We start from the raw sequence: 24,658 nt of genomic DNA on the forward strand, positions 1-24,658 counted from the left end.
TGGAGATCACTTCTTGGCCTTTTGGCTGAGATCAAGTGTAGTAACAGTATAATGGAGAAAAGCCCCACCCTGACTGAAGGATAGAGATGGCCATACCCCAGTGAGAGGCAGATGGACCGCTCTGAATACCTACATAGTGTTCAGGCTTGGAATGCAGAACCTGAATCGAATCATGAGGAAACATCAGACAAATCCAAAACAAGTTTTTGTTGGGGTTTTGTTGTTGCTTCGGGTTTTTTTGCTTTTTTTTTTTTTTAGTTTTTTTTTTTTTTTTTTTGAGACGGACTCTCACTCTGTTGCCAGGCTGGAGTGCAGTGTCGTGATCTTGACTCACCACAACCTCCGCCTCCCCGGTTTAAGTGATTCTCCTAACCTCAGTCTCCTGAGTAGCTGGGACTACAAGCGCACACCACCACGCCCAGCTAATTTTTGTATTTTTAGTAGAGACGGAGTTTCACCATATTGGCTAGGATGGTCTCGATCTCCTGACCTCGTGATCCACCCGCCTCGGTCCCCCAAGGTGCTGGGATTACAGGTGTGAGCCACCGAGCCTGACCGGAAGGTTCTAGTTTTTAAAAGAGGAGGGGCTGCATTCTTCAAAAACATCGATGTCATAAAGGACAAAGACTGTGAAAATCCACATTAAAGGAGACTGGCATTACTAGGTCCATTGAAAAAACTGGAATATGACCTCAGATTAGATAAAAGTCTTGTATCAATTTCAAATTTACTGGCTGGGCTTGGTGGCTCACACCTGTAATCCTGGCACTTTGGGAGACCAAGGCAGGCAGATCACCTGACATCAAGAGTTCGAGACCAGCCTGGCCAATATGGTGAATCCCCGTCTCTACTAAAAATACAAAAATTAGCTGGTTGGGGGGGCACGTGCCTGCAGTCCCAGTTACTCAGAAGACTGAGGCACAAGAATTGCTTGAACCCGGGAAGCGGAGATTGCAGTGAGCTGAGATCGTGCCACTGCATCCCAGCCTGGGCAACAAGAGTGAGACGCTGTCTCAACAAAAAAAAAAAAAAAAAAAAAAAAAAAAAAAATCAAATTTACTGACGTTGACAACTGTGGTGAGAATATTGCCTTTCTTAGGCAATGGCAATATATACTGAAGTATTTAGGGGCAGACGCCATGATATATGCAACTTCCTCTCAAATTGCTCAGAAAATAAGAGTATGCATGTGTACAGACATCCACACACAGAGAGACTGGTCAACCGGATGGGGCTAAACGTTAACAGTGACCCTGAGTAGAGAATGCAGGTGTCCTTTTTTTTTCCCCCCATCAACTTTTAAGTTCCAGGGTACATGTGCAGGATGTGCAGGCTTGTAACATAAGTAAGTGTGTGCCATAGTGGTTTGCTGCACAAATCAACCTATCACCTAGGTCTTAAGCCCAGCATTCATTAGCTATTCTTCCTTATGCTCTCCCTCCCCCACACCTGTGTTGTTGGCACATATACACCATGGAATACTATGCAGTCATAAAAAGGAACAAGAGCATGTCCTTTGCAGGGACATGGATGGAGCTGGAAGCCATTATCTTCAGCAAAGTAACACAGGAGCAGGTATTTACACTATTCTTATTCTTGCAATCCTTCTGTAAATTTGAAAAGGGCTAAAAAACAAACAAACAAAAAACAAGAACTCCTCTGCCTTAGATTCAGCAGCCCTGAGGGCGCTGTGGAGAAAGTGTGTGGCAACCACCTCTCACAGCAATCACGGGGGCAGGGCCTAATGGGACTGGGCTCCAGCCACAGACACACAGGCACATACCGGCTCCAGGCCCCTTCTGAGAGCTGGAAGGGCTCTCTCCACCTTCCACCGAAGCAGCAGTTGGTTTACCTTCTACAGAAAAGAAGTCTCCCCATCATATCCCATGCTGGTCACATCTTCCCAGAGGGAGACCAGTGGGGACCCTGTTGCACAGGGTGAGAGGGCAGAGAGGCTGAGAGGTTAATGAACACCCCACACCCCACACCTCTTCATTCCCCGACACTGTGCCACAATAAACAAACCTTGACTCCAAATAAAAAGTACTTGATTTTAAGTATGAAATTCAATTTAAAATCACAAGGGTAGATGCTCTCTTATTTACAAAATTTCTCAGCTAATCCTCAAAACCTCTGTGAGGTAAACCTCTGCCTCTCCCTATTTTTCAGAGGGGAAACAAGACAAGGACAGTTCCTGTAAACCTGTCTTTGGGCATAGAGCTAGCAAGTAAAGGAGCCGCAGTTTGAAGCCTGGTACGTGCCTCCAAGTCCCTGTCCTCTCCATCCTGTGGCTGTAGCCTAGAGCCGGGCAGTAAGGATAAGCCAGTCCCTCACATCTAATGGCCCTGGGGATCTTGCTGTGATGCAGAGTCTGCATCCTGGTGATGGGAGGCTGCTGGCCCTGGAACCACATGGGATCACACTTGGAGTAACAAGGTGATGGAAGAACTCGAATGGAGGCTGGAGAGTAGGAATTTGGTTTTCGTCAGATTAAAGCAACAATTCTTCATTAGAATTTATTTAATCCCTCAATAACACGAGGTTAGTCATGTTATCTCCAATTTCCAGAGGAGTGAGCATAAGGAACTGAGAAATGAAGGAAGCCACCCTACAGTGGTCATTTTCCTCTCACTGCATCTAGGCCGTGGGGAGCCAAGTCGAGTAATTAGGAATGGGAGGCCAAAGCCACGTGTCAGAAAGATCATTCTCACCCCTGTCTGAAGCTGGACTGCCGAGGGGAGAGGGAAGTCAGGACAGCTACCCAGCAACAGCGCCAAGGGTGTTCTGGACTGAATTGTGTCTCCCCAGCTTCATGTGTTGAAGCCCTAACTCCCAATATGGCTGTATTTGGAGATGGGGTCTTTAGGAGGTAATTAAGATTAAACAGGGTCATAGGGTGAGGCCCTAATCCAATAGGACTGCTGTCCTAGTAAGAAGAGACACTAGGGATGCTCACGCAAAAGGCCTTTTTCACAGAAAAAAGGCCAGGGAGGACATAGCTAATTTTTTGTATTTTTAGTAGAGACGGGGTTTCACTGCATTAGCCAGGATGGTCTCGATCTCCTGACCTCGTGATCCGCCCGCCTCGGCCTCCCAAAGTGCTGGGATTACAGGCGTGAACCACTGCGCCTGGCAGCTCTCTGTCAACCAGGAAGCAAGCCCATGCCAGAAACCTATCTACCCTGCCACCAGCACCTTGATCTTGGACTTTCAGCCTCCAGAATCGTGAGAATATAAATTTCCATTGTTCAAACCACCTATTCTATGGTATTGTTATTGCGGCCCAAACCAACTAATACAAAAGGCATGTGCCCTGCATGGAACAGAAGCGGGAACAGCAAAGCAAAGACACACTGCATGACACCATGAACAGACAATCAACAGATGCTGGAGATCAACTGGAGGACTTGGGTGACGGGCAATGAGAAGCCAACGTGTGATACCCCAGCAGGAGTTGTAAAGGACAGTGACCGCATTAATGAAGATGGTGGCAAAAGAGAGGCAGGACTGAAGAACAGAGAGAAGAGACTTTAGGTGATAAGAGAATGAGCTGCATTTTGGCAGATTTGGTTAATAGAGCTCACAAGACTTCTGGAGTAAATGGCCAGCCTGAGGTTAGAAATTAAACTTCTATCCTCAGGGAAAAAGTTAGGGGCTAAGATATAAAATGTGGGAAACCCAGAGATCGTCAAAAAAAAATTTGAAGAGAAGAGAGGCCCTATGAAAAGGAGTGGAAAAATTAGTGAACACCTACAATCAGCATGCAGGCCAAAGAGCCTAAAAAGGGCAAGCAATGACCTTTAATGATGACAATAATTATGACTTATCCTTAAGGAACCCTTACTATGTGCCAGACATTCTTCTATGCACTTGCATCAATTTTATGGGGTAAGTTTTTCCCTACCCTTATCTTACAACAAAACTGAGACACATCAAAGTTAAGTGTCTTGCCCTAGGCACAGAGCTAGAAAGTGGTAAAACTTAGGATTCCAATTCCATTGCTCTCAAGAAGCAAAACATCTGGAAGAAAACCTTGAGTGACCAATGTCACAGGAATCAAGGGAGGAGAGAAACTGGATAAGATCAAATGCTAAAGAGACGCAAGAAGAAGCCACAGGACTTGGGGTCTGGTGATCTCGCACTGAAGTTTTAGTGAGAGTGATGGTAGATGTCAGATAAGCAGAAGTGGTAGGCAGTGGAGGAAAGGAAAGGGAAGAAGCGAATGAAAAGAAGTTTTAAAAAGTATTTTAGGCCAGGCATGGTGGTTCACACCTATAATCCCAGAACTCTGGGAGGCTGAGGCAGGAGGATAGCTTGAGGCCTGGAGTTCAAGGCCAGCATGGGCAACAAAGCGAGGCCCTGGCTCTACAAAAAAAATAAAAAATAAAAATTAGCCAGGCACAGTGGTGCACACCTGTAGTTCCAGTTACTCAGGAGGCTGGGTCAGAAGGGATCACTTCAGCCCAGGAGTTCAAGGCTAGAGTGAGCTACGATGGTGCCACCTCTTTAAAAAACAAATAAATAAAGTTTTCAAATGTGTGTGTTTAAGAGCAAAGAAGACAATGCAGAAGAGGAAGCACAGTGGGGATGGGGAGGGGCGGGGCAGACCAGGGGCCAAGGAAGGTTCAGGGATGCTGTCCCTCACCCAGGGGCATTTCAGTTCCTAAACTGAATGAAACTAGATTAAATCATGTTGGCATTCTTTTAAAAATATGTGGCAGTTTTCAGATTAGAAACTTTGCATTAGAAACTTAGGAAATATTCCCTATGGGAATGCCACTTCTTTTCTCCTTTATTTTCCATCCCAATGGGGGAAAAAAGACTATTATAGCACAGTATTATAAGAAAGAAAAAAAAAAAAACTATCCTCTTTGGAGCCTCTTCTCTAGAATAAAAAGGCATAACCTAGCAGGCATATGCAAATTATTTGGAACTAAATGTAAATACTCTTAAGTGATAAAATGGATTTGTATTTTTAAAGAAATCGTTTATTTGGCCCACTGACTTGCAAAGAAATTCTCACTTGTTAGGAACCCCTAACAGTCTACTTAGAATATTCTTCTGCCCTCTCAAAATAACTAAAATTGAGTTAATGTCAGCAGCCAGGACAGAAGGTTTTTGTTCTTCACACAGTGTTTCCTTCAAATACTGAAGAGCAAGAGTGACATATAATAAGCATAAGATGTCATTCCCTCTCTCAACCTATCTCCAAACATGTCGTCTGGATAAGCCTGTACCTGGGAAAGTCAGAATCTGTTGAGAAGTCTCAAGAATGCCTGAATTCTCTATCACAAGGAGTCACAGACTGGATTCTAAAATACACAAAAGAGGCTGGGCGCAGTGGCTCACACCTGTAATCCCAGCACTTTGGGAGGCTGAGGCGGGCATCACAAGGTCAGGAGATCAAGACCATCTTGGCTAACACGGTGAAACCCCGTCTCTACTAAAATTACAAAAAAATTAGCTGGGCGTGGTGGCGGGCACCTGTAGTCCCAGCTACTTGGGAGGCTGAGGCAGGAGAATGGCCTGAACCCAAGAGGCGGAGCTTGCAGTGAGCCGAGATCGCGCCACTGCGCTCCAGCCTGGGCGACAGAGACTCCATCTCAAAAAAAAAAAAAAAAAATACACAAAAGAGCATTACTATTTTCACTTCGGTCATCTCAGTACATGGTCCTGCCACTGTCATTGTCAGATCATGAGAACACCAGAAAATAGTGGAAAGAGAGCTTGATATTTGTCATATACTTAATTAGATACAATAGACAGATTTTTTCATTTTAGAAATAGAGTTTGAGTTGAAATGTTATGGTCACTCCACATACTGATGGGTGATTCCATGATTACAGGCTCAGGTAAAAGATCTCCAGCCAGTGCTTCTCAAATAACTTTATTACATACCAGAGCCACCAGGGGAGCCTGTGGAACTACAGATTCTGAGTTAGAAAGTCTGGGGTGGAGCCCAAGACTCTTGCTTTCTGGACAAGCTCCAGGTGATTTCTGATGCTGCAAGTCTGGCTTTAGATAACAGCTGCTAAGTTTGCCTGAGGATGAAAGCTTGAGTAAACTCTGAATACTGATGTTACAGGACTCCAGCACTTTCTAACTATATACATTTGAACATAAGAGACAGATTTTATAGCTAAAAAGGTTTGGCTTTTTGTATATATTTCTTATTGATACAAATATGTGTACATGTATATGGGGGCACAAATATGATACTCTATCACATGCTTACACTGTGTAATGATCAAATTAGGGGTTTGGGGCATCTATCACCTCGAGTATTCGTCATTTCTGTGTGTTGGCATTATTCCAAGTCCTCTTTTCTAGCTATTTTGAAATCTACAATACATTGTTGTTAACTATGGTCATCCTACACTGCTATCGAACATTAGAACTTATTCCTTCTAAGGTATGTTTGTAACCATTAACTAACCTCGTTTTATCCTCCCCCCACCCACTGACACATCTTCCCAGCACAGCCACTGTGAAAAACAGTATGGAGATTTCTCAAAACAATTAAAAACAGAATTAACATATTAATAGATCCAGCAATCCTACTACTGGGTATTTGCCCAAATGTAAAGAAATCAGATGTCAAGGATATTTGCACGTGCGCGTTTATTGAAGCACTATTCACAATAGCAATGATATGGAATCAACCTATATTCATTAATAGTTGAATAAAGAAAATTGTGGTATATATACACAATTTATTACTACTTGGCCATAAAAAAATGAATCTTGTCATTTGCAGCAACATGGGTGGAACTAGAGGTCATTATGTTAAGTGAAATAAGCTAGGAACAGAAATACAACTGTCACACGTTCTCACTCAAGTGGAGCTAAAAACTGTAGATCTCGTGAAGAGAGAGTAAAATCACAAATTCCGTGTTATACACATTCTACCACAATTTAAAAAAAAAAAAAGATCACATAATTATAAGAGGTGAGATTGTCACTCACACTTTAAATTACTGCCAGAGGCTGGGAAGAGGAGGAGTTGAGCAGGGGTGGGGGTAGGAATAAAGGATGGAATAAAGGTGGAAGGGGGAATAAAGAATATATTTATTACCAAGGAAGTGTACATTTCAAATGGTACAGATGGTAAATTATATACATATATTTTGTCTCAATTAAAAAATATAAAAACTATAAAAAATTAAATGTTAAAAATAAAAGATTTTGTTTTTTGTTTTTCTGAGACCCTAACAGTTCACAAAGCAGGCAAGTTCAGATAGGACAAAACCGGCTGTGTCACAACAGGGTGTGCACATGCTTGGTCTTTTCAACGGGATAATTATTTCGACTCTGGAATAATAATAATAATAATAAACAGAGTCCAGAATAATGGCTCAGTAATAAGAGAATGAAAGCAGGCCATTCTTACTAAAAGTATTAACAATGTATTTGAGAGTACAGTGGTCTCTATGGTGAGATTACTGGAAGATTAAAGAGGTGTCATCCAAGCTAAATGTTTCCAATTTGCTGAATGAGTTTAAAGACAGCTCTACAGGGGTGCATAAACACAAGCGACTGTCACAACCCTAAAAGGAATAAATGAACTGGTGGACTACATTTTAATGTGGAAAAAACTTCCACAATGCTTACACAGCTATTCCTGGCAATGAGAGGCTCATATGAAACACTTTTCCTTAAGGGAATGGGAGTTTCTAGAGAACAGTAGGCACTTATTTAAAATTAATATTGGACCACAAACTTCTATCATCAGCAAGCTGAGACCTAACAAACAAGATCAAAATACCAAGTCATACATTTAGGCAGTTAAACTTGCTTTTAAACTGTAATAAGCTAATTAGATGCATTCAGTGGGTCAACCATTAAAAAAAATATACACTGCACAAATCTTGTCAATTTTTCATTAAATTTTATTAAGAAACAAGAGTCCTGTGCCAAAAGTGATAGCTTCACCATCTGAACCTGCTACTCTGGTTAAGAAATGACATTTCCAATTCCAAATTTCACATACTTTCCTTTATAAAGACAATAGCAGAAGACCAATGCTACATGTAAACTCAATAGTAGCCCATTATCTTGAAACCAAATCAGTGTGTGGAAAGCTTCAAAACTTTCTTTGCCTTTTGGCACAAGACTGAAGACATGAGATTTTTTTTAACATCTGACCATAATAACTGCTGTATTAATCACTGTGAAGGCTCCTTGTTGACTTTTCTCAGAGTTTTATAAAACATCGCTATCAAACAGGTATTTATCAAAATAGGCATATAATTTTATTTATTCCAGGAAGCTCTCTCAGTGTTAAAAGGATAAGATAATTAACGTTTAGATGGAAAGAGAGCATGGGATGGAAAAATGCTCTCCTGAAACACAGCCAGATCTATGAAACCATACAATTACTGTCATGTCATCTCTGAAAGATCAAGTTAACAATGTGTATGATTTAATAATCTTACTTAATATGGCCAGGAATGCTAACAAATCGCCAAGCCAATTTGTTCTTATTCTTACGCAGGTAGCTAGACTACACCTCCCAGGCTCCTTTGCAGTTAGATGTGGCCATGTGACTAAGTTCTAGACAAAAGAAAATTTTATATATATATATATATATATATATATATATATATATATATATATATATATATATGTATGTATATATAACATGAGGGAGACATAAAGATTGTTGCCAATAGCCACTGAGATTTTGGGAGTTACTGATGGAAACATATTGCCAAATATAGCTTCAGATGTATTTCTTCAAATTCCTCTTTTAAAATGATCATATCCCCAGGTAAGAGTTTTGGAAACAGATAGTGGTGATGGTTACACAATGATGTGAATATGATGAATACAACTGAACTGTATACTTAAAAATGGTTAAAATCACAAATTATATCTTATATACACATATTCTACCATAATTTAAAAAAAAAATGATCACTTAATTATAAGAGTTGAAATAAGTTGGAACCATGATTAAGAAGTATTTTAAATACTCTTTCCTGAAAATATAAGCAAGACCTTTGTGTCCAGACTTGTTCAGAAAATGCTCTAAGTGAAGAAGAGGAAGCCCTGGGAGAGGCAGGCCTGGTTAGGTTGTCACAATAAGGAGGGTAATTGTCAGCAGGAGGAGAGATGCTGGGACCAAGAATATATCACAGATCCTTCAATTGCACTCCCAGGTATTTACCCAAATGAGCTGAAAACTTATGACCACACAAAACCCTGTAGTGAATGGTCATAGTGGCTTTATTCATGATCACCAAAAACAAGAAACCACCAAGATGTCATTCAGTAGGTGAATGGATAATAAACTGTGGTACATCCAGACAGTGGAATATTATTCAGCACTAAAAAGAAATGAACTAGCAAGCTGTGAAAAAACACAAAGAAACTTTAAATGCATATTATTGACAAAAGCCAATCTGAAAAGCCAAAATACTGTAAGATCTCAACTATGTGACATTCTGGAAAAGACAAAATTATGGAGACAGTAAAAAGATCAATGGTTACCAAGGGCTGAGGGGGAGGCAAGCAGGAATGACTAGGTTGGGGTGCTGGTGATTTTTAGGGCAGTGAAAGTATTCTGTATGATACTGCAATGGTGGCTACATATTATGCATCTGTCAAAATCCATTGAACTGGACAACACTAATAAAAACTACAGACTTTAGTTAATAATAATGTCTCAGCATTAACCAAATGTAACAAATGTACCATATGAATTTAAGGTGTTAATAATAAGGGAAACTAGGGGCGTGAAGGAACTCTGCACTACTTGTTCAATTTTCTGTAAACCCAAAACTGCCCTAAAATACAAAGACTAGGCCGGGTGCGGTGGCTCATGCCTGTAATCCAAGCACTTGGGAGGCCAAGGTGGGAGGATCATGAGGTCAAAAGATCGAGACCATCCTGGCCAACATGGTGAAACTCCGTCTGTCTCCACTAAAAATACAAAAATTAGCTGAGTGTAGCGGCATGCGCCCGTGGTCCCAGCTACTCAGGAGGCTGAGGCAGGAGAATCGCTTGAACCCAGGAGGCGGAGGTTTCAGTGAGCTGAGATCGCGACACTGCACTCCAGCCTGGCAACAGAGTGAGACTCCATCTCTACATACATACATACATACATACTATCGGCCAGGCACAGTGGCTCACGCCTCCAAGCCCAACACTTTGGGAGGCCAAAGCAGGCATATTGCTTGAGCTCAGGAATTTGAGGCCAGCCTGGGTAACATGACAAAAACCCGTCTCTATGAAAAATACAAAAATTAGTTGGGCATGGTGGTGTGCACCTGCAGTCCCACCTGCTGAAGAGGTTGAAGTGGGAGGATTGTTTAAGCCCAGGTGGTCAAGGCTGCAGTGAGCCATGATTGTGCCAATGTACTCCAGCCTGAGTGACAAGAGCAAGAACTTGTCTCAAAATAAATAAAGACTATCAAACACACACACACAAACACACACACACACACACACACACACAAACTTCTCCTAGTCTGCCTGGGGTAAAATACTCAAGCACCAAAACTCATCTGCTTGGACTATGGTCAAGGCTTCCTAAGTATCTGAAGTAGCACCAAAGAAAGCATGTTTACATGTACAGGCATACTCCTGTTTTACTGCACTCCACTTCATTGCACTTCACAGTATGTTTTTTACAAACTGAAGGTTTATGGCAACACTGTGTCCAGAAAGTCTATCTATTAGTGCCATTATTCCAGCAGCACATGCTCACTTTGTGTCTCTGCATCACATTTTGCTAATTCTCTCATTATTTCAAACTTTTTCATTATTATTATATCTGTTATGGTCATCTGTGATCAGTGACCTTTGATGTTACTATTGTAATTGTTTTGGGATGCCACAAACGACACCCATACAGGATGGCAAACTCAATCGATAAATGTTTGTGCTCTGACTGTTCCACAAACTGGCCATTCTCTCATCTCTCTCCCTCTCCTCAGGCCTCCCTATTTGATGAGACACAACAATATGGAAATTAGGCCAATTAATGTCCCTACGATGGCCTCTAGGTGTTCAAATGACAGGAAGAGTAGCACATCTTTCACTTTAAATCAAAAGCTAGAAATGATTAAGCTTAGCGAGAAAGGCATGTCAATAGTCTCTGTAGGCCAAAAACCAGACCGCCTGCACCTGCCAGGTTTTGAATGCAAAGAAAAAGTTCTTGAAGCTTCGAAATTACAAGTGCTACTCCAGTGAACACATGAATGATAAGAGGGCAAAAACAGCCTTATTGCTGATATGGACAAAGTTTGAATGCTCTGGATAGAAGTTCAAACCAGCTCAACACTCCCTCAAGCCAAAGCCTAATCCAGGGCAAGGTCCTACCTCTCTTCAATTCTATGAAGGCTAAGAAAGGTGAGGAAGCTGCAGAAGAAGTCTGAAGCTAGCAGAGGTTGGTTCATGAGGATTAAGGAAAGAAGCCATCTCCATAACATAAATGTATAAGGTGAAGCAGCAAGTGCTGATAGGGAAGCTGCAGCAAACTATCCAAAAGATCTAGCTAAGATAATTTATGAAGGTAGCTGATATGGTTTAGATCTGTGTTCCCATCCAAATCTCATGTCAAATTGTAATCCCCAGTGTTGGAGGAGGGGCCTGCTGGGAGGTGATTAGATCATAGGGGCAGATTTCTCCCTTGCTGTTCTCACAATAGTGAGTTCTCAAGAGATCTGATTGTTTAAAAGTGTGTAACACCTCCCCACTTTGCTCTCTTCCTCCTGTTCCACCCATCTAAGACGTCCCTGCTTCCCCTTTGCCTTCCACCATGATTCTAAGTTTCCTGAGGCCTCCCCAGCCATACTTCCTGTACGGTCTGTGAAACTGTGAGCCAATTAAACCTTTTCTTTATAAATTACCCAGTCTCAGGTAGCTCTTTACAGCAATGCAAGAACAAACTAAAACGGTAGCTACACTAAACAACAGATTGTCTATGTAAATGAAACAGCCTTTTATTGGAAGAAAATGCCCTCTAGAACTTGCAAAGTTAGAGAGGAGAAGTCAATGCCTGGCTTCAATGCTTCAATGGACAGGCTGACTCTCTTCTTAGGAGCTAATGTAGCCAGTGACCTTAAGTTGAATCCAATGCTCATTATCATTTCAAAAGTTCTAAAGCCCTTAAGAATGATGCTAAATAAATCTACTCTGCCTGTGCTCTAGAAATGGAATAACAACGCCTGGATGACAGCCCATCTGTTTATAATATGGTTTACTGAATATTTTCAGCCCACTGTTGAGAGCTACTGCTCAGATAAAGATTTCTTTTCCAAATATTACTGCTCATTTACAATGCACCTAGTCATCAAGAGCTCCGATGGAGATGTACAAGGAGATGAATGTTGTTTTCATGCCTGCTAATACAACATACATTCTGCATACCATGGATCAATGAGTAATTCCTATTTTCAAGTCTTATTATTTAAGAAATCCATTTTGTAAGGCTACTGTGGCCAATCTGCCAGAGATTGCTCGGGTGGGTCTGGGCAAAGTACATTAAAAACCTTCTGGAAAGGATTCACCATTCTAGATGCCATTAAGAAAGTTCATGTTTCATGGGAGGAGGTTAAAACATAGCATAACAGGAGTTTGGAAGAGGGTGATTCCAGCCTTCATGGATTACTCTGAGAGGCTTAAGACTTCAGTGGAGGAAATAACTGCAGATGTGGCAGAAATAGCAAGGGAACTATTACAGAATTACAAGTGGAGCCTGGATATGTGATTGAATAGCTGCAATCTCATGATAACACTTGAAGGGATAAGGAGTTGCTTCTTATAGATGAGCAAAGATGAAATCTACTCCTGGTGAAGATGCCGTAAACACTGTTGAAATAACAACAAAGAATTTAGAATATTACATAAACTTAGTTGATAAAGCAGCAGCAGGGTTTGAGAGTTTTGACTCCAGTTTTGAAAGAAGTTCTACTGTGGGTAAAATGCTATCAAACAGCATTGTATGCTACAGAGAAATTTTTTTGTGAAAGGAAGAGCCCATCAATTGCCACGGCCAGCTCAACCTTCAGCAGCTACCTCCCTGATCAGTCAGCAGCCATTCTCATTGAGGCAAGACCCTCCAGCAACAAAAAACATTAGGACTCACTGAAGACTCACTGACCGTTAGCATTTCTTGGCAATAAAGTATTTTTAAACTGAGGTAAGTGCACAATTTTGTTTTGTTTTGTTTTGTTTTGGGGGCGAGGGTATATACACAATTTTTTAGACATAATGCCTATTGTGCATTTAAAAGACTACAGTATAGTGTAAACATAACTCTTACATACACTGGGAAACCAAAAAATGTGTGTGAGTCGCTTTATTGCTATATTTGCTTTAATTATGGCTGTCTGGAATCAAACCCACAATATCTCCCAAGGTATTCCAGCAGTTCCAATGGAAAGGCTAAGCTCATAATAAAGGAAATAACGGCCCTATTATAATATCAAATGCCATTATTAATGCAAAGTAGACAATCGCCTGACCAACTGTAGCTAAATTCTTGGCATTTATGAAAAAACAAACAAACAAACAAAAAACACAATGTTTTGAATATCTGGCCAAGCTAGAGATGCTGCAAATGATGGGAGGGTATTACCATCTGCAAAGAACCTTCCACCACAGGTGAGGGAGGTTCACAAAACTGGATGGTGGTCTAACATCTTTTTTTTTTTTTTTTTTTGAGATGAAGTCTCGCTCTGTCACCCAGGCTGAAGTGCAGTGGTGTGATCTCGGCTCACTGCAACCTCCGCCTCCCAGGTTCAAGTGATTCTCCTGCCTCAGCCTCCTGAGTAGCTGGGACTACAGGAGCGTGACACCACGCCCAGCTAATTTTTGTATTTTTAGTAGAGACGGGGTTTTACCATGTTGGCCAGGCTGGTCTTGAACACCTGACCTCAAGTGATCCACCCACCTCAGCCTCCCAAAGTGCTGGGATTACAGGCGTAAGCCAGCGCGCCCAGCTGGTCTAACATCTTTTTAAAATGAAACAGAAACAGATATCTATTGAATGCAGAAGTAGAACAAGTTTAAGGCCTACATTTAATTCTTAAAGTCTCTTTTCTTGGCAAATATTTGGTGAAAACAGCCTATCAAGATGACAAACCTATTATGGCCCAATGATACAACAAATACTGGCAGCCCTAGTTCCTTTCTGTGGATTTCTAAGAAGGCAGGCATGGGCCCCAGCATCTTCTCTAAGTAGTGTTCTAAACATTTAACCTGCATGTTTATCAAAACACGCAATTTTAAATTTAGATTCTTGATAAAGAGGATTTGATTTAGAAAGATAATCCTCTGGGGAAATCTCGCCTCCAAATTTTAAGAACTGAAAATCAAAGGGCACAAATTGCAGAAGGGGGCAAAGTGACACACAGAAACAAGCTCTGAAATAAACCAAAGTAATATCTTAGTGTGAAGATGATTGCTTTAAATAAGCTGATCCAAGCCCTAATTATTTTCTCTGGCAATTTCTTACTCTTAAACAAAAACAGAAACACTATTCATACTCCCCTTTACAGATTGTACTCTGCTGCTTATGAACAAGCAGACAAAGAGAAGCAAAAAGGCAACAGCACCTTCAGCATTTCTCTCTAAAAACCAATTGTTTTCGGAACAGAAACTAGAATCTGCCTCACTGAAAAACCCTACCTGAAACCAGGTTCATACTGGCTGCTGGATAAAGGACTTTTCAGCAGGTGGCATCTCAGAAATTACTTACTAAGTCAGCTCTTTCCAGTCACCTAGCTAGCCAAAGTTTATTAGGTCATTTGTACAGTCAGGGTTCTCATATCTCACAATTATGGAGGCTAAGTAAGAGGTCCCAAGACCTGCAGTTAGTAAGCTGGAGACCCAGAAGAAACTGTGGCATTAGATTCTAGTTCAAGCCTGGGTCCAAAGGCAGGAGAAGACCAATGTCCCAGCTGGAAGACAGTCAGAGAGAGGTTCCCTCTTTCCCAGCCATTTTGTTCCAATCAGGCCTTCAATGATAGGATGAGGCCCATCCACATTCGGAGAAGTCAATCTGCTTTACTCAGTCTACCAATTCAAATGTTGATTTCATCCAAAAACAGCCTCAGACACACCCAAAATATTTGACCAAATGTCTGGGCACCCCATGGCACAGTCAAGTCCACACATACATTTAACCGTTACATCATTCCTGAGCTCAGAGTGTTGCCATACCAAGTGTTACAGTGAGATATTTACTATTGAACGTATTAGCAGCAGGGACCCAGACAACAACATATTTAAAAGAGAAGAAAAGATGTATGGGAAGAGAAATAATGTAGATAACAGATAAACATAATAAAGAATTAAGGCCGGGCGCGGTGGCTCACGCCTGTAATCCCAGCACTTTGGGAGGCTGAGGCGGGCAGATCGCCTGAGGTTAGGAGTTCGAGACCAGCCTGACCAACATGGTGAAACCCCGTCTCTACTAAAAATACAAAAATTAGCCAGATGTGGTGGCACATGCCTATAATCCCAGCTACCCGGGAGGCTGAGGCAGGAGAATCACTGGAACCCGGGAGGTGGAGGTTGCAGTGAGCTGAAACGGCAACACTACAATCCAGCCTGGGCGACAGAGTGAGACTCCCAGCTCAAAAAAAAAAAAAAAAAAAAAAAAAAAAAGAATTAAGCAACTGTGTTAATCTGTTTGCATTATTAAAAAGCAATAACTGAGAGTGGGTAATTTATAAAGAAAATAGGTTTATATTTGGCTCATGGTTCTGCAGGCTGTACAGAAGCATGGCACCAGCATCTGCTTCTGTGAGGGTCGCAGGAAGCTTCCACTCATAGTGGAAGGTGAAGGGAAGGCAGGCGCATCACATGGTGAGAGAAGGAACAAGAGAGGGACCAGGTTCTTTGAAACAGCCAGCTCTCGTGTGAACCAACCGGGTGAGAACTTGATCATTACCAAGGGGAGGGCACAAAGTCATTCATGAAGGATCCCCCCCATGACCCAAACACCTCCCATGAGGCCACACTTCCAACACCGGGGAGTATCACATTCCAACATGAGATTTGGAGGGAACAAACACCCAAACCGTGTCAGCAGCCAAGTGAAATTGTGTGTGTGAGAGAGAGGCAAAGAGAAAGAGAAACAGAGGAGGAAGGCAGACAGAGAAAGAGAGTGCATGCAACTAAGCCTGTGTGCACACACTGAGGGGCTCCAGGGCATTGGGAATGAAGGAGTACAACTCGACTCACAATAGGAATTGCAGCATGTCCTAGTTATCTAAAACAAATTACTCCAAAACTCAGCAGCTTAAAACATTGAACATTTACCATCTCACAGATTCTGAAGGTCAGGCATGAGGGAGCAGCTTAGCTGAGTGGTTCTGGCTCCGGATTTCCCCTGGGGTTGCAGGCAAGCCCTCAGGCAGGGTTGTAATCTCCAAAGGCTTGCTTCCAAGCTCACTCACTTTCAAGCTCATTCACGTAGCTACTGAGGAGCCTTTTTCTCCTCTCGATGTTGACCTCTTTATGGACCTGATCACTACATGTCAGCTGGTTTTCCAGAGAAAGTGGTTGACAGAGAAAGAGACCCCTAGATGGAAGCCACTGTCCTTTATCTTAGAAGTGACATATCATTTCTGCTATATTCTACTGGTCACACAGACTAAACCTGGTAACATGTGGGAGGCAACTACACGAGTGTGAAGACCAGATCATCACAAACCATGCTGGAGGCTGGCTACAGAGGGTAGCAGAAAAATACCTCGCAAATAGAAAAGGCCTTTTAGAACATCGTGTTGTGATATTGCAAAATATATATTTGGTCTGTCCCCGTTTCCTGACATAGAGCTCCTAAAATCTTTGGAATCTCCAGAGTGATCAGAGTGTCTTTGCGTATTAATGAGATAATTAGTAGCTGGGGGTTCCTAGATAGCCTCAAGATGGGGTCTGGTGGCCAGGGGAACCAACCATGTGATTAGAGGGCCGGAAATTTCAGTCCCACTCCCAACTTGTTGGGAGGGGAGAGGGGCTTACAGTTGAATCGATTAACCAACAGCCAATGATTTAATCAACCATGCCTATGTAATAAAGTTTCCACAAACAAACAACAACAACAACAAAACAGTTCTGGGAGCTTCCAGATGGCTGAACCCATGGACGTTCCTGGAGAACGGCATGCTCAAAGGAGACATGGAAGCTCCATGCCCCTTCTCCCACACCTCGCCCTATGCACCTCTTCCATCAAACTGTGCATATTTATCCTCTGGCATATCCTTTTTAATAAATGGGTAAATATCAGAAAAGTGTTTCCCTGAGTTCTGTGAACCACTCTCCAGCAAACTGATCAAACCCAAGGAGGTGAGTCATGGAAACCCCAATTTACAGGCAATGTTAAAAAAAAATTCTGATTGAGTCTGACTGACTAGCTCTGTCACTTTAAATTCGTGTGTGAACAAACCAAAGCCCAATGTAAACAGTAAACTGAAACTAGAAACTGCACCAATCAGAAATCACCAACTAACCTCTAACTAGAAACTTTCCACTCTAACCAATCAAAATTGGTTTCATTTGTGTTGCTTCTGCAAATACTTTATAAAAGTTTCCCCTCTTGCCCCTGTGGGCAGAGTGCTAGCCCCTTGTGGTCTGATGCTACCCCATTCACAAACTGCTGAATGCTCAACTAAACTGCTGAAAATGTAAATGTGCTTAAGATTTTCTTTTATCAGATCTGATATCAGAAGTGGGATCCAATGGACACTACATGATAATGACCTCTGGGAGCAACAAGCAAACAGATACAGTTACCCCACAGAGCCCCTTGTGCTTACTCCCTGCACATTTGGAGGTCATCACCAGTAAGTAGACTTAGATACGTGCATTCTAACACTAGCGTCAAGTTCTCCAAGTTCATTTTAACATTTCTGCTCCAGACTAGGTTTGGAAGTCACAGCAGAAACAAGACTGGGTTTTGCAGGGAGGCTTCAGGTGTCCAACTAGGTTAGACAAAAACCAAACTGGGTTAAGCAAAAGACCTCCACTAGGAAAGGTTCCACGAAGACTGGAAATAATGAGTTTATTTAAATCCAGAGTCTGGGACTCCATCTATAGTGTGACTGGTCCCCTACCAGGTTACTTAAGAGTGTATGTGTATTGCTTGAACCCCAAAAGCTAGGCAGTGAACCAAGGCCACTGCGCCCAGCCAAGGACCACGTGTCCCTGAGAACCTAAACATCCTGGGGCATAGCTGGGGACATATCAAGGAAAACCACACAAAATTGACAAAGGGCCAGAAAATTAACTTAAAAGCAGCTTAGAAATGGGAGGTGGTGTGGATCTCTAGAGCTGTCCAGCCACCATCCAGGAGTGTCCTGAAGTTAAGTCCTAACAAGCTCATCTAGCCGTCAAGCTAGATTTATCCAAGTTATTCTTTGGTCTCCCAGCTCCTTCCCAGTTTGGGGGTGTGGGGAGAAGGATGTTATAGTCTCAAGTGCTTCTCATAATAGCATCTCAGAACCTAAGCTCTTCTAAAAGAATGGGCAAATCTTACCAAAAGCAATTTAGAATTTTAGTGGCTACAAAGTGGAAGTTTTTACCTAAACAAAATTGTTCACCTACATACACACGTACACACACGATCTTGAACATCTCAGAAAGTGGGAAGGGCCAAGCACGGTGGCTCACACCTGTAATTTCAGCACTCTGGGAGGCTGAGGAGTTTGAGATCAGCCGGGGGAACAGAGCAAGACCCCATCTCTATTTAAAAAAAAAAAAACAACAACAAAAAAAACAGAAATGAGAAGTATTTTTTACTGGCATGTAGAGGTTTCTAACCTCTCGTCTACTCTGAGTCTGCTGATTTTTTTTTTTTTTGCTTGTTTATCTGCATGCCCTGAAGGAAAAAGAACTAAATGAGTATTTATAGTTAGGTTCTCAGATTAACCAGGTCTGCTTCTTTTTAATAGAACATTTTTAGGCTGGGCGTGCTGACTCACACCTGTAATCCCAGCATTTTGGAAGGCCAAGGGAGGCATATCACTTCAGCTCAGGAGCTCAAGACCAGCCTGGGCAACGTGGCGAAACCCCATCTCCACTAAAAATACAAAAATTAGCCAGACATGAGGGCGCACACCTGTAATCCCAGCTACTTGGGTGGCTGAGGTAGGAGAATCACTTGAACCTGGGAGGCTGAGGCTGCAGTGAGCTGAGATGTGCCACTGCACTCCAGCCTGGGCAACAGAGTAAGATACTGTCTCAAAAAAATAAAAAATAAGAAAAATTTTTTAAAAGAAAATTTTTTACTTAATTCATTTCTTTTTGTGATAGGGTCTCCCTCTGTCACCTAGACTGGAGTGCAGAGGCATGAACACAGCTCACTGTAGACTCAACCTAAGGGAAGAGACCACCCCTCATATTGTCTTATGCCCAATTTCTGCCTCCAAAGAAAGAAGTAAAAACTAAAAGGCAGAAATGAAATCCACAGGCAGACAGCCCAGCACCACACCCTGGGCCTGGTAGTTAAAGATCCACCCCTGACCTAATCGGTTATGTTATCTATAGATTACAGACATTGTATGGAAAAGCACTGTGAAAATCCCTGTCCTGTTCTGTTCTGTTCCTTTCTAATTACCGGTACATGCAGCCCCCAGTCATGTACCCCCTGCTTGCTCAATCGATCACGACCCTCTCATGTGGACCCCCTTAGAGTTGTAAGCCCTTAAGAGGGACAGGAATTGCTCACTTGGGGAGCTCGGTTTTTGAGCCATGAGTCTTGCTGATGCTCTCAGCCGAATAAAGCCCTTCCTTCTTTAACTCAGTGTCTGAGGGGTTTTGTCTGCGGCTCGTCCTGCTACAAACCTTCTGGACTTAAGCAATCCTCCCGTCTCAACCTCCCAAAATGCTAGGATTACACCCATCCCAGGTCTGCTTTTTTTTTTTTTTTTTTTTGAGATGGAGTCTGGCTCCGTCACCCAGGCTGGAGTGCAGCGGTGCAATCTTGGCTCAATGCAACCTCTGCCTCCCGGATTTAAGCAATTCCCCAGCTTCAGCCTCCCAAGTAGCTGGGATTATAGGTGCTCACCACCACGCCCAGCTAACTTTTGTATTTTTAGTAGAGGTGGGGTTTCGCCATGTACCCTTATGTCTTGATCAAAATCTTAATCTCAGAGCAATAATAAAAGGTATCCCTGTCTGGCAGAGAAAATGCTTTGTCTGCCCTATTCATGAATGGGTTTTGCTCTGAACTTGGCAACCTAGGTAAACATGGATTTTTTTCCTATTTTTTTGTGGGTTTTTAGATTTTTCTAGCTTTTTTGGGTACAAAGTAGGTATATATATTTATGGGGTACATGAGATGTTTTGATACAGGCATGCAATGCATAATAATCACATCATGAAGAATGGGGTGTCCATCCCCTCAAGCATTTATCCTTTGTATAACACAAAGGACAATCCAATTATATTCTTAGTTATTTTTAAATGTACAATTAAGTTATCGTTGACTGTAGTCACCCTGTTGTGCTATCAAACAGTAGGTTTATTGTTGTTGTTGTTGTGGTTGTTGTTGTTATTTTGAGACAGAGTCTTGCTCTGTCACCAGGCTGGAGTGCAGTGGTGCGATCTTGGCTCACTGCAGGCTCCGCCTCCCGGGTTCACGCCATTCTCCTGCCTCAGCCTCCAGAGTAGCTGAGACTACAGGTGCACGCCACCACACCCGGCTAATTTTTTGTAGTTTTAGTAGAGAGGGGGTTTCACCGTGTTAGCCAGGATGGTCTTGATCTCCTGACCTCATGACCCACCCGCTTCGGCCTCCCAAAGTGCTGGGATTACAGACATGAGCCACTGTGTCCAGCCTCAAATAGTAGGTCTTACTCGTTCTATTTTTTTTTTTTTGTACCCAGTAAACTCATGTGGATAGGACATGAGGAAAGCCAAAATGGACGCAAAAGGCAGAAGGGTATCACTCTGAAGATGATATCTGTGGCCATGAGACCCAATTTGGTTCATATATAAACCACAAAAAGCAAAAAAAAACCCCAAAAAAACATAAATAACCTTTTTTTTTTTTGAGACGGAGTTTCGCTCTGTTGCCCAGGCTGGAGGGCAGTGGCGTGATCTCAGCTCACTGCAAGATCTGCCTCCCGGGTTCACACCATTCTCCTGCCTCAGCCTCCCGAGTAGCTGGGACTACAGGCGCCTGCCACCACACCCAGCTAATTTTTTGTATTTTTAGTAGATACGGGGTTTCACCATGTTACCTAGAATTGTCTAGATCTCCTGACCTCGTGATCCGCCCACCTCAGCCTCCCAAAGTGCTGGGATTACAGGCGTGAGCCACCATGCCCGGCCATAAATAAGCTTTTGAAAGCCATTCCTAAAGTGTTTCCCACCTGCACTAAACCAGACCTGCAGACAAAAGAAAAATGAATCTGTTACTAATTTCAAAGCCCACTTGGACCTTTTGTTTTTCCTACAGCATTCCAAGCATTACATCAATTCAGCTAATCCTAGCTGTCCTTTTTGTAAATGGAGTCTCCCCACAACATTACCAAACAAGAAAGAGAGAGAGGAAAAGGATAAGGAAGCTACAGGGTTAAGTAAGTTAGCTGAGGACCTCAGAGCAAGATGAGAAACAAAAGGTTTCCAAATTAATGGCCTTGTAATTATAGCAACTGCGGAGCAACCAACAACCAAGAAGGACCTTTGGACTACTTTTAATAAGTGACTCAAACCAGACGTTATCTCCTTCTGTCTGTCTTTGTATGAATGTTTGTGTGTGTGTGTGTCTATATATATACACACACATATGTGATATTTTCAGATGGTATTACTAAACCAATTTATAAAATCCTTTAATGGAGATCTATTCAAATTGGTTTGGGGATAAATGAGCATGCATGTAAATTATTTCTAAAACTCTCAGAAATGCAGAAACTGACCCAAATGTGTGTTTTTTTTTTAATAAGTTCACATGATTTACATAAGTCTGTGGTAAATAAAGCTAGTTTTTAAATTGTCGGTAAAATAAAATGGGAGTTTCTCAGAATTCTCAAGTTTTTCCTGGGTTGCTGGTTAGACAGATTGGTGTTGGCTCTGCTAGATGTTTAAGATCATAAAACCATAAATCCAACCTAAGAGGAAAATGTGCAGTAAAAATGAATTGCTTGATCTTGATGCACGTCAGTCATGGAAGTAAAAAACTGTGATACCTGCCTGATTTGTCAAGAAAAATTAAATAACATTAAGATGATGGCGTGGGAGAAGGCATGGATGATAGCTGAATTTCTTTGGAGGACCTGTCTTTAGGCAGACAAAGGAGTCCCAAAAAGCCCCTCCCTGCATTTGTTATTTTTCAAATGCTTTCGGCTCAAAGCAATCAATATTCCAAAGCAGTAAATTTTGGAGTGGCATTTCCTGAACTCTTTCAATGGCTAACTCTGTTCAATATCTCATGACATTTTTCATGAGCAATTCAAGTATATTTGTTTAAGAAGGAGTGACTTAAATATAAATGGAATAAAAGTTTAAAACTTTTTGAAATTATGTTTTATAAAATGTCTACAGTCATAATCTTGATTATTATGTTAAAATGTTGTATGTCACAGAAAATAACCAGATTTTTTTGTCAGTTGCATTATTATAATGAAACCTCATTAGAATTTAACTATGGCCATCTTAAGTCTTGTCATCCATAGGCAGTTATTGTTTTGATTTTTCTCTAAAAGCATTTGCAATCAGCTATAGTCCAAAATTGCTTCTTCTTCAAAGATATTCACGGAAAGAACTCTGACAAGTACTCTGGATATACAGGTTTCTTATAACTTTAAATTAAGATAATGCCATGAAAGTGGGTAAGAATTCTCAGAACGCTAATAAAGAAACTGGTGAGTTTGTGAAACTGCTATCCCGAGATCATGCAGAACAAGAATTACATAAGACTGAATAACTGATGAAAATAATGTTTTTATGACTTTATATGTGGAAGTTTTGCTGGTTCTTTAAAGTTTTAAGAAACATTTTACCTTTTAAGCTATCTACTGCTTGCAGCAATTTGGAAAAGTATACTTTTGTGAATAAAGATTGAAGTATTTACTTTTCCTCTCTACCTGATCCTCGGGAACTTGGAAAGCTACTTGTGAAGATTTTTTTTATGGCAATATAACTATTTGCATAAGTTCAAAAAGAATCTGTTCTCTTTATAACAAGACACAATTGGAAACATTGGTTATATTACCAAGGGTCATATTTGACAGTGTGCATAGAATGCCTGGCTAAAAGTGTTCCCAGTCTCACAGTGAGTGAGTAAAAGCTATCAGTTCCCAGCAGACCCAGGAACCTCAAGATATTTGGGGGACCTTACGAGAAGAGAAGAATTCACCCAAATATATAGGTACTGCAGGTGAAGTCTAAAATTTGCCTTGGTTTGGCTTCCTAGATTTAAGAGGTTTTTTTAAAAGTTCAATCTGATTCCCTATCAAAGGTTCCAGCAAAACAAACTTTAAAAAGAACTTGTGCGGTCAATCACTATTCTTACTGCACTTACATAATCAGGCCAAGTCTGATGAGACAAAATTTATTATGCAATCAAATTAGTCTTACACTGATTATTATTATTATTTTTGGAGACGAAGTCTCAAGCTTGTCCCCCAAGCTGGAGTGCAATGGTGCAATCTCGGCTCACTGCAACCTCCGCCTCCCAGGTTCAAGCGATTCTCCTGCCTCAACCTCCTGAGTAGCTGGGATTACAGGCACCTGCCACCATGCCTGGCTAATTTTTGTATTTTTAGTAGAGACAGGGTTTCACCATGTTGGCCAGGCTGGTCTCGAACTCCTGACCTCAGGTGATCCACCCGCCTTGGCCTCCCAAAGTGCTGGGATGACAGGTGTGAGCCACCGCGCCTGGCCCATTTATCTTTGGTAGAAACAAGGATGACTACAGAGAGAAAATTATGTTTCAGAAAGAAACAATAGTACACCTGTTATTAGACTGCAGCCCTATTAACTGTTTTCAAGTTTTATTATCTACCTGTAGTTTGCACTGAATCCTCAGTTCTTCTAGGTTCCTCCATCCAATTTTCTCCCACTTTTCTGACTTGGAATCACTCTGAACAAGAACTGCTCTGCTCCTGAAACCCTGCAAGATGGAGATGTATACCTGATACAAGTTCAGAGGACAACCCTCATGCCTGATGTGTGGACCACTCAGGGAGTTCACCAAAATGCCCACTGCCATAACTAGGGGCATTCAAACTGCAAACCAGGAAAATATGCTTAGAGCTCAAATCTAGAAATCTTCCTGACTAATCACCCTCTGGACTCAGAGACCGAATTTATGATTTGTTCTTATCATTAAGCTTTGTTTTTCTTTTGCTTCCATAGAAATATTAGTTAGTTTGGTTCGTGGGGACTTTAACTAAGAAGCTAAGTCTCTCAGTATTATCCTCCTGGTAGTCATCATTATAATCTTCCTGGTGCACTATATTCTCTCAAGGGTCTTAAATGTATATTCAAAAACATCAACAGCATACCAGATTGTCTCACTGTGATTAGAAAAAAAATGAGATTGACAACAAAAGGAATTGTTTTTCATTGAGCCTGTTGTCATGATTTATGAGTTCCACACTAAGACAAAGACAACCTAGCCATGATGGTGACAGAGAGTGGCACTTACGTCCAAGTTTATAAATGAGAGGCTGACCAAAAGGAGGAAACTTAT

General features: G+C 41.7%; 2 protein-coding genes and 1 long non-coding RNA gene across 13 annotated transcripts in view, besides 4 other annotated features; 1 reads left to right on the plus strand and 2 right to left on the minus strand.

The window, feature by feature from the left end:
- The window catches only part of TPD52-MRPS28 (TPD52-MRPS28 readthrough), a 252,848-nt gene that overhangs the window by 167,143 nt on the left and 61,047 nt on the right, over nt 1–24,658 (minus strand). The window lies entirely within an intron of this gene.
- TPD52 (tumor protein D52) overlaps nt 1–24,658 on the minus strand; it is a 140,483-nt gene that overhangs the window by 54,778 nt on the left and 61,047 nt on the right. Inside the window, exon 2 of one of the 11 annotated variants that reach the window (NM_001387780.1) lies at nt 23,969–24,076. The exons of the other annotated variants lie outside the window; for them this stretch is intronic. Coding sequence (NP_001374709.1) covers nt 23,969–24,011 — 43 coding nt within the window. The 5' untranslated portion in view covers nt 24,012–24,076. The remainder of the gene's footprint in view (nt 1–23,968; nt 24,077–24,658) is intronic. 11 annotated transcript variants of the gene reach the window in all.
- On the plus strand, nt 1,536–6,365 carry LOC105375918 (uncharacterized). Its single transcript, XR_007060978.1, has 3 exons — nt 1,536–1,575; nt 2,170–2,253; nt 5,847–6,365. It is a non-coding gene; the product is annotated as an uncharacterized LOC105375918 (long non-coding RNA).
- Nucleotides 15,883–16,383: an enhancer, noted in NCBI's record as "H3K4me1 hESC enhancer chr8:81013977-81014477 (GRCh37/hg19 assembly coordinates)". NCBI's record gives its function as "activates a minimal SCP1, AML or CMV promoter by ChIP-STARR-seq in primed H9 embryonic stem cells {active_cell/tissue: H9 hESC(primed)}" and the evidence as "EXISTENCE:reporter gene assay evidence [ECO:0000049][PMID:30033119]".
- Nucleotides 16,146–16,275: an enhancer, noted in NCBI's record as "active region_27554". NCBI's record gives its function as "activates an Ori minimal core promoter by ATAC-STARR-seq in GM12878 lymphoblastoid cells {active_cell/tissue: GM12878}" and the evidence as "EXISTENCE:reporter gene assay evidence [ECO:0000049][PMID:35858748]".
- Nucleotides 16,686–16,735: an enhancer, noted in NCBI's record as "active region_27555". NCBI's record gives its function as "activates an Ori minimal core promoter by ATAC-STARR-seq in GM12878 lymphoblastoid cells {active_cell/tissue: GM12878}" and the evidence as "EXISTENCE:reporter gene assay evidence [ECO:0000049][PMID:35858748]".
- Nucleotides 17,449–17,558: an enhancer, noted in NCBI's record as "active region_27556". NCBI's record gives its function as "activates an Ori minimal core promoter by ATAC-STARR-seq in GM12878 lymphoblastoid cells {active_cell/tissue: GM12878}" and the evidence as "EXISTENCE:reporter gene assay evidence [ECO:0000049][PMID:35858748]".

Source organism: Homo sapiens, chromosome 8 (genome assembly GCF_000001405.40).
Source record: "Homo sapiens chromosome 8, GRCh38.p14 Primary Assembly".
NCBI lineage: Eukaryota > Metazoa > Chordata > Mammalia > Primates > Hominidae > Homo > Homo sapiens.